The sequence below is a fragment of the Homo sapiens genome, chromosome 5, assembly GCF_000001405.40.
Source record: "Homo sapiens chromosome 5, GRCh38.p14 Primary Assembly".
Lineage (NCBI taxonomy): Eukaryota > Metazoa > Chordata > Mammalia > Primates > Hominidae > Homo > Homo sapiens.
Window position 1 is genome coordinate 118793038 of NC_000005.10, and position 10175 is coordinate 118803212.

The 10175-nt window shown below is 40.0% G+C and overlaps 1 annotated feature.

Moving 5' to 3' along the window:
• Positions 6126-7325: an enhancer, noted in NCBI's record as "P300/CBP strongly-dependent group 1 enhancer chr5:118134858-118136057 (GRCh37/hg19 assembly coordinates)". NCBI's record gives its function as "activates an origin of replication core promoter dependent on BRD2, BRD4, P300/CBP, MED14 and CDK7 cofactors, with strong dependence on P300/CBP, by STARR-seq in HCT116 cells {active_cell/tissue: HCT116}" and the evidence as "EXISTENCE:reporter gene assay evidence [ECO:0000049][PMID:35650434]".

A 10175-nucleotide genomic window follows, 5' to 3' on the forward strand; every position in this document is an offset into this window, starting at 1 on the left:
GAGTTTAGCTTTCTCCACCTTGACAGAAATGCAGTCCTAGCCTCCCTGTGCTAAATCCTTTTGCTTCTGATTTGAAAAACATTCAGCTTCCTGAAAAGAAAAAGCTATCAGAGGCCTTTTCTTAATCCATCTTGCACATCCTCAGAGTTGATGTCAACAAGCCACAAAGGGAGTTCCTACCAGTCCTCCCTGGGCTGAGTAATGAGGGCAATGAGACAGGGCTAGTATGGTCCCGGATCCCCAGGGGAGGGAGCGGAAGGATGTTCATGGGGATCCTCTGGGCTCTGTCAGGAAGAGGGAGATCCTCTGAGGAGACAAGGCATTTGTCTCAACGAAAAATGGTTGTACTGGGGGTAAATGTCATACTTAATTAAGCCAACCAATGATAAAGGAAGCAAGCTGCCATCTCTTTGGAGTGTTTGAAAAACAGTATTTGGGCTTAGAAGATATTGTTATGATTTATAATTATAGCTTCAATTTATTGACAGACACTGTTTTCTTAAATCAGATTGGCATTTGTTACCTCTGTTTTACTGATAATGAAACTCAGAAATGTTCAAGGTCAAAGGGAACAGGGAAAAGAAAACCTAGCACTGTCTCCAAAGCCTGTACTCTGTCCACTCTGCTCCATGCCCCCCTTCTTTAGAGCAGGTGGTTTTCTCTCACAATATAAAGTCTAAAAATGAGCACCTGTATTGAGTTGTCTGCATTTCTGGAACAAAGAACCTGAAACATGGATTTCCACACTGGGAGAATTGCAGAAGTGTTCCTGTGGACAACTGACTCCTGACCTGTAAACTCCCAACTGAAACGGACCACGGGCTTAGGAGCTGGCTTTAGCAACAGCTCTTCTTGCAGCCAGAATAAAGCCACAGTAGCTATCCTCTGCCAAGAGTCTTAGTTCAAGCTGCATAGATTGGGTGGGTTATAAACAACAGAAATTTATTTCTTGCAGTTCTGGAAGCTAGAAATCTGAGATCAGGGTGCCAGCATGGTGAAGGGCCTCTTCCAGGTTGCAGACTGCTGACTTCTCATTGTATCCTTACATAGAAGAAACAGGGCAAGAGAGTTACCTGAAGTTCTTTTTATAATGACACTAATCTTGCTCATGAGTGCTGTACTCTCATGACCTAATTACCTCCCAAAGTCCCCATCTCCTAATACACTGCAGGTTACAATTTCAATGTGTAATTTTAGGAGGACACAAATATTCAGCCCATTGTACCAAGTTAGCGGGCTGAAAATGCACTGCTCATCTCAGCCCCACACAGTCATCATCTCATTGCCATCTTTTTCTGTGTCCTTCACTTTTTACCTGGACTTCACTAGGGTGAGAGAAGAGGTCATGATCTATAACAGGTAGTTGTTTTACCCTTGTCCCTGATACACAGTGTTATCAGCCACAGTTTTTCTACAGCAGACACCAGCAGCTCGATGATCCAGACAGATAAGAAACATCTCCACAGTGACCAGAGAAGACTCCAAAGACAGCACAAACACCCAGACAATAACTCATTACCATACACTGGCATCCTTGAGTCTGCCCTCGCTGATACCCATATAGCGCCTTAGGGAGCAGAAAGTGGAGGGGCAAATCCTTGGGAAAAAAAAAAGAAATATCCTTTTCTTGTAAGAAGTTTGAACCTTGAATTTAAATGAATACTTATCTGAAAGACACTTGAGCTAACCCAACAGAGTCTATTTAAAAACCAAAGAGGCCAAGTTATCAAGATACCAAGAACTGACAAGTTTTCGATTGATTTTTTTCTTGCTACTGAATGGAATATGGGATTGAGGACAAAATGAGAGCACTTATAAGAAATAAAGGATACTACCTTTTTATTTTGCATATTTAAGTTGTAATGTATAAATGTTGTCCGATTTTTACGTGTGTGTTTGTACGCATGTTTTATGTGAAATAGCTCCTTTTTGACAAGGTCAATCTGGATTTCAGTAAGGCATTTTTTTTTACGTTTCCCATCATGTCTTTGAGGACAAGATGGAGCAATGCAGGCCAGTTGGTAAAACACTTATGTGAACTCTCGTGCTGCCTATATTTTGTTCCTCTTTGGACACCAAATTTTCAGGGAGACATTAGCAAAGTGGATTTCCTGTAAGAGAATAACTGGTTTAATGAAGAATCTGGTAATCCGATCGAAGAAGGAATGGATATTTTATCTTGGAAAAATGAAGACTCTGGGTGAAGTAGGGTAAAGGGTATGCATCCGTGATAAAGTGGAATGAGTATCTCTGGGAGGCAACCAAGGTTCAAATCATGAATTTTTCTTTACTACAAAATGTCCTCCCCATACACTGTATGTATTATAACTCTATGGTTCTCCACAATATCTACAGGGCAGGTGAGCAGTGCAGGCTGCTGGGAGACACAGAGCCAGAGCTAGAGAAAAGGGGGTAGATAGCAAATGTAGGAAATGTGGGAGAAGAATCAGCAGCCCCAGGGAGGAGTTAATAGTCACAAAGTAAGTCCATATTCCACATATGCTATCTCTGGTGCAAGTCCAAATGGAAGGCAATAGGGTTCTATCACAAAGAAGTACAGAGAATGTGGCTTCAGAATGGTCAAGTGGGGCAGAGATGGTAAGACAGCCAAATCTGGTGCAGGGCTGTATCCAGGGAAATCAGTCCAGGAGATGGTGGCAATGGTCATAAACAGGCCCAACCCCTAGATATGAACCCAGAAGGAACACAGCTGGAAACCAATACCCAGCCATCCTGGTGATAAGGGAGATATCCATATCCCAAACACCGTACTAACAGAGCAAGACAGGGAGAAAGCCCATGAAGAAGGGGATTAGTCTGCCTCAGGGGAAATACAGAAAGCTGCCCCCTTGCTAGGCCTATTGGACCATGGACTTGCCTGAAATTCCAACTTAGTATGATAATTCCCTTGACTTAAATGTAAATGGACCTTAAGTCTTTCTTACCATAATGCCTGTAATCTCAGGAAAAATAGTTTATTAAACCATTTCAATGTATTAACACCTTAATGAGGCTAAGTTCCAGTAGTGGCACTCATTTCCAGTAGTGGCAGCTAGCTGGGATCCAAGTAGATTAGGAATCTGCTTTGTTTAGCTTAGATGACTGGCTGGGAGGGCCAAACGAGGGCATTATGCACTGCCTAGGGCGAGAAGACCTTTGCAGGCAGAGCAGAGCAAAAAGGAGCCCAGACTGCTGAGTGGCCTGAGAATCCTAGGTATCTGGGAGCCAGGACAGGTGGAGGATGAAGCCCAGGAAACAGGAGATTGGTAACAGAAGGGAATGTGTGAGGGCCCTGAAGGCAAACCTCATCTACATGACAGTTCAACTGAGAGCCAGGCCCACCCACTGCTGCTGTATTTCACATCTTTCTGACAACAGCAAAATGCACATGCATTCACTCAGCAAATTTATTCGATCATTTGAAAAATTGTTCTTAACAGAATAGCTGAAAGAAACCACTTGTTCATTCATGAAACATAGTCTCCAAGATTAGACAGCTTTTCTTGAGGTCCTTAAAACTAAAAAGTACACATTTGCCTTTTGCAAAATGCAAGGGCCAAACTCCCTCCACCTATTTTTCATACTCAGGACCCAGAAAGTAACTAGAAAATAAGGGGATGGAGGCAGATATCCAGCAAGCCAAACTAAATGCTCCAAAGTCAGTGTATTAAACATATGCACTGGAATTACATGTAAATCACTCAAGTTTTCCTTATCTTAAAAATATAAAACAACAGGGAAGCCCAGGAATCTCTTCAAATTAGGTATACTGATTGTTTTAAGAAGTAACAGTTATAAGACAAAAATAGAAAATATCATAAACCAAGTAGAAAGCTAACAACCTAGGGTCTTCGGTACAGAAGGAAAGAGCTCTAGTTGTATCAAAATCTTGAGGACATTGGAAGATTAAAGTTCACATTTCAGGCTCAGTTATTTAAAAAAGAATGAGATTAAATGATTGTAGGAATACTTACCTCCATTTAAGCCTAACAACCTTTACTATCTGCATCCCATATTGGTGCCCTTCTAGTAACTGAAATTATTTGGTGTCTTAGATTGTATCCCTGGACGGGCTAGAGTTAATAAAGTTAGGCCGGGGGCGGTGGCTCACGCCTATAATCTCAGCACTTTGGAGGCCGAGGCGGGCAGATCACGAGGTCAGGAAATCGAGACCATCCTGGCTAACACGGTAAAACTCCGTCTCTACTAAAAATACAAAAAAATTAGCCGGGCGTGGTGGGGGGCACCTGTTGTCCCAGCTACTCAAGAGGCTGAGGCAGGAGAATGGCATGAACCCGGGGGGCGGAGCTTGCAGTGAGCCGAGATCGTGCCACTGCACTCCAGCCTCAGTGACAGAGTAAGACTCTGTCTCAAATAAATAAATAAATAAATAAAAATAAAGTTAAACAATTACTTAACCCAAGTCCTGGACTGATGAGAGGCAAATAAGGTGCTATACTCAGAAAAAAAATAAGGAAAGGTTTAATATGCTATGCAAGTTCAGCTATGAATAAGACACAAGTATCTCTCAACAAATATGAAGAAAGAGAGTTTGTTGGCTGGGCGAGGTGGCTCACATCTGTAATCCCAAAACTTTGGGAGGCTGAGGCAGGAAGACTGCTTGAGCTCAGGTGTTCAAGACCAGTCTGAACAAGATGGCAAGACCCTGTTGTTACAAAAAAAAAAAAAAAAAAAAAAAATTAGCCAAGTGTGGTGGTGTGCATCTGTAGTCTCAGCTACTTGGGAGGCTGAGGCTGGAGGATAACTGGAGCCCAGGAGTTCAAGGCTGCAATGAGCCATGTTTGCACCACTACACTCCAGCATGGCTGACAGAGTGAGATCCTGTCTCAAACAATAATAATAATAATAATAATAATAATTTGCTGTAGAAATAATATGGTACAAAAAGATTCCAGAGGAAAAGGACTGGAATCACCAAACTGACCTAACTACAACAATCCCTCACTTTGAAGCCAAGGAGTAGAGTGCAGAGTGTGAGAGCACAGAAGCTCCTGACCAAATCCTGTAGTCAGGACCACTGGGTAAGGGTTTTATTCTAACTCACCTACCAAGACCTGACCCTGACTTAGGTATTTCCCAGAGAGAATGCTATTGTCTGCATGTTTGTATCCCCTCAAAATTCATATGATGAAATGCTAATCCCCAAGACAATGGTATTAGGAGGTAGGGCCTTCTGGAGGGCAATTAGGTCATGATGGCAGTCTTCACAAATGGGATTAATGCCCTTAAAAAATGAACCCAAGGGAGCTCATTTATCCTTCCCACCATGTAAGGATACAGTGAAAGGGAGCGATCTATCAACCAGGAAATGGGCCCATATCCAACACCAAACTTGCTGGCACATTGATCTTGAACTTCCCAGCCTCTAGAACTGTGAGTAATCCATGTTTGTTGTTTATAAGCCAGCTGGTGTAAGGGATTTTGTCCTTTGACTAAGAGAAGTAACACACACAGGTCTGAAAAGAGCTCATTCCACCCACAGTGGGTTCATACCAAAGACACACCAGCTCACAGAACACCATTTGTGAAAGGATTGCTGAGATTCCTAGGACTCAGACAGGGAGGAGACTATTTAGTATACTCTATCTCAATATACATTTTTAGAAAAGCCTGTATGTGGAGAATGTTCAATATATTGGTTTCAAAGGTGTCAACAGGGGAATTTGAAAATGATCAAGTACTGAGAAAGTACATTTTATTGACCAAGCTAGGCTTTTTACAAAATATTTTTCTCAATAAACTATCATGGAAAACAGGAAAATCATGTTTTAAAATAAGATACATTTTGGGACACTTGGTAGACATTGATCTTTCTCATTTCCATTATGCTGTCTTATGCCTTTGATTTTCATCTGAGAACTTATCCCTTGCTCTCTTACAGTCCACTGGATGCTTCAGGTCTCCAGCCCAGCCCCAGGAGAGAAGTCAGTGACCCAGACCTAAGTCAACCAGTGCACAGCATTTCCCCACATCAGAGTCAAGATGAAGAAGTGGGCATGACCTAAATCAGTTCAACCAGAATTAATCCCACAAGTTTTATAGGATCACCTGGAAAAGAGGCAGAGAGTAGTAAGTCTGTAAGGCTAGAACAGCTATAGCAATGCTACTGACCATGGGGAATTTAATCCAGATGAAGCAGAAATGAGAGATGGAGAGAAGAGAGTCCTGGTGATCCCATCTGAGCCCCTCCATCAAACATCCCTACTTGTATTTTTCACTTTCAACTGCCATTAAATACTCCTTTTGCTAAGCCCATTTTGGTTGGTTTTCTGTTACTAACCACTAAAATTACTGGCTATAATGATTTCAGATAAGTCAGATGTTACTATATGGAAATCAATATTTATCAAGCCAATATAAGCGTGTATCAATTAATACTTCTATCCCCAGATTCTATTTTCCTCTTATACTAAACTTCAGGAATTATGAATTCTTCCTGAACGTAAGACTACTATTTTTTGTAGCTGTAACCTAAAGCACATTGGACTATTCCTTCTTGTCTTCTTATAACCCCAAAATAGGAATTATAATTTCTTACTGAAATTTCCCTAAATTTTTTCTCACCAAAATTTAGTTAATTTTTCCCTAAAATTTCTTTACTATATTTCACTGAAATCTACTATGTAGTATTTTCTCTAGATGAAAACTTTCCCTGAAAATTGCAAGAAGTGAAAACATTGGCTTTGAAATGATAGATAATTCATAAACTATTCTTAAGGATTATTCTCAGGAATAATTATTTTGTCTGGCCTACATAACCCTAAATAGTGGTAAAATATACAGTAGTTTAAAACATGGTTAGGGGCCCAATCTAGAACAAAGAAAAACTGCCTGTGAGTAAAACAGTCAAACATGTTTTAGACATGTCTCGCATCCACCAGTGTGAGTCGAGTGCAAAGGGTTACTGTAAACTGACCAGGTATTAGCAGGTCATCTTCAAACCCACATCAACCCACCTCACCTCAGAGCCAGTTCTAGGACCCTCCACGGGTCAGCCTAATTTCCCTTGGCCCAGCCCAAGCTGGCTCTTTCTCTTTGCACAGCAATGCTCACACACCCTGGCCAAAAAAGCTTTCGAAGTATTTCTTTTTGAATGAGCATAAAGTGCCTATTGAGACCAAGAAAGCCTCCTTATTGTGGGGTTGACCTTACCACTGTGTCCACATTCCCCAGAGGTATGGACAGTAGCTACAGCTGAGGAAATGTCATTCAGCAGTTTTTTGCGTATGAAATTTGAGAAATTTGCATGATACATGTGGAGCCAATTGTTCATATCTAAGCATATTAGCTGTTTTTCTCCTGAGAACACAAAAAAGTTATTGAGAGTGAAAAGAAGTCCCATTGGAGGAGGGGAAACCTGAGGGGCCTCCCTGAGTACTATTCACTGCAGGCCTCATTTCATTCCCAATGACTTCTGTGGAAGCCAATTTAAAGAAGGTCACAGGTATTTACCTTTCTTCCCTGTCTGTTTCAATCTGTTTTATAGAGAAGGAGTGAAAATGCCAATGCCAATGCTCATTCTTGAGCCCTTGGTGCATTCGTTCTGCAGATTTTTTTAATACAAGGGTAGACTTTTAAAACAACAAAAGAAAATGTCATTGGAATAGACTTAAGCTTTACTTTGACTTAAGATAGATTTCATTCCTTGGCTTAGACTGGATTACATTCACCTAGTCCTGTCATTTCTTACTAAGGGAGGAGACCACCCCTCATAGTGTATTATGCCCAATTTCTGCCTCCAAAGAAAGAAGTAAAAACTAAAAGGCAGAAATGAAATCCACAAGCAGACAGCCCGGCACCACACCCTGGGCCTGGTAGTTAAAGATCCACCCCTGACCTAATCGGTTATGTTATCTATAGATTATAGACATTGTATAGAAAAGCACTGTAAAAATCCCTGTCCTGTTCTGTTCCGTTCTAGTTACCAGTGCATGCAGCCCCCAGTCACGTACCCCCTGCTTGCTCAATCGATCACAACCCTCTCACACAGACCCCCTTAGAGTTGTGAGCCCTTAAAAGGGACAAGAATTGCTCACTCAGGGAGCTCGGTTGTTGGAGACATGAGTCTTGCCGAAGCTCCTGGCTGAATAAAGCCCTTCCTTCTTTAACTCGGTGTCTGAGGAGTGTTGTCTGCAGCTTGTCCTGCTACATTACAAGTAATGCTCTGTCAGTACAGAGTAGTAGTAGGCATTTATGGCCTACCACATCCTTAAATATCTCCCACCTCTGGTAGTACTGAAACACTGCTCACATAAAGAGCTACATAGGGGATGAGAAGAAAACAGAATTCTGTTTACAAATTCAGGTATTTGATTATTAGGCTAATGTTTGTAAAGTAAGGTATAAAAAATCCAAAAGAGTGGATGTTCCCAAATCCATCTATATTTTCCCTTTTGTATTTATATGTTTATGTCTGATCATTTACTTCAATTAATGTATATGCTTTCACTCACTAAGTATTAATTAAAATGCTTACTTTATGCCAGGTACTGTGCTAGGTGATAAATACACACAAAAAAAATGAAGAAGGAATAACTACCTTCGAAGGCTTAACCCTCTGATAAGGAAAACAAGAGAACAGAAAAAATTTTATAAAGTAAGTAAATATCATAGAATTTTGAGGAAAAAAAAGATGTGCATGTATTTAGGTGCATATGTCACCAGAATGGGTCAAACGGCTACCAGACAAGAAGACTTTCAAGAGCCTTACCTAGGTCCATTTTCATGTACTTGGCCTGGTCTGCTTCCTAGAAAATTCAGAAATCTGATTTTTTTCTTTCAGCATACTAAGCATGAATCTACCTGTGGGACATCAACTTATATTAACTGAGCTTATCAACACTAAGGCATAGCCCAGAATTTTAATTTGCCAATTTACAATGAAACAGCGTTGTCTTGTAGATCATGGACAGAGGAATTGAGATTATATAGCCAGCTCATTCTGCTTCTGAAGACAGATCTACCACATTCTCAATTTTGGTTATACTATACACTCAAAAGAGTGTTTAGATTCGTATAGAATCACAATTAGGGTAATTGTTTTAATGCAACACGTGTTTGATGACTTCGGGCTGTAACAACCTGACTATCCACCTTCACATTAGAGACACATGCTAAAAATACCTAATTTGTTAAGACAACAGTCACCATAACCCAAGCCAAGGCAAAGGCACACTTTTCCTGCTGACCAAACTACATCTTCATTAACTAAATTTTTAAGTTTAAAGAAGAACTAATACCAATTCTACTCAAACTCTTCAAAAAATATTGAAGAAGAGGGAATACTTCCAAACTCATTCTACAAGGCCAGCATTACCCTGATAACAAAACGAGACAAGAACACAACCAAAAAGAAAACTATAGGCAAATATCCCACATGAATATAGTGCAAAACTTCTCAACAAAATACTAGGAAGTCCAATTCAACAACACATTTAAATGGTCTCACCATGACCAAAAGGGATTCATACCAGGGATGCAAGCATGGTTGAACATATGCAAATCAATGAAGGTGACACATCACATTAACAGAATGAAGAACAAAATCCATATGATCATTTCAATAGATGCTTAAAAAAGCACTTGATAAAATTCAACATCCCCTTATTTTAAAAAAAAAAAAAAAAACCATTATCAAACTGGGTATAGAAGGAACATTCCTCGAAAGGCCAAATATTACAAACCAACAGCTAAATCATACTGACCAGAGAAAAATTGAAAGCCTTTTTTTATAAAATCTAAAACAAGGAAAAGGTATGTACCTTTACCACTTTAGTCAGCATAGGACTGGAAGTCTCAGCCAAAGCAATTTAGCAAAAAAAGAAGAAAAAAATGAAGTGTTTCCAAATTGGAAATGAAGAAGTCAAGTTAGCCTTGCTTACAGATGACATGATCTTATATTTAGAAAAAAACTAAATAATCCACCAAAAAACCATTAGAACTGATAAATGAATTCAGTAAAGCCACATGATACAAAATCAACATACAAAGATCAGTAGCATTTATATATGCCAATAGCAAAGAATCTGAAAAAATAAATCAAGAAAGCAATCCCACGTGCTCTAGCTACAAAAAATATAAAATCCCTGAGAATCAACTTAACCTAAAAAAGTGAAGATTTACAAAAGGAAAACTATAAAACACTAAAAAAAGAA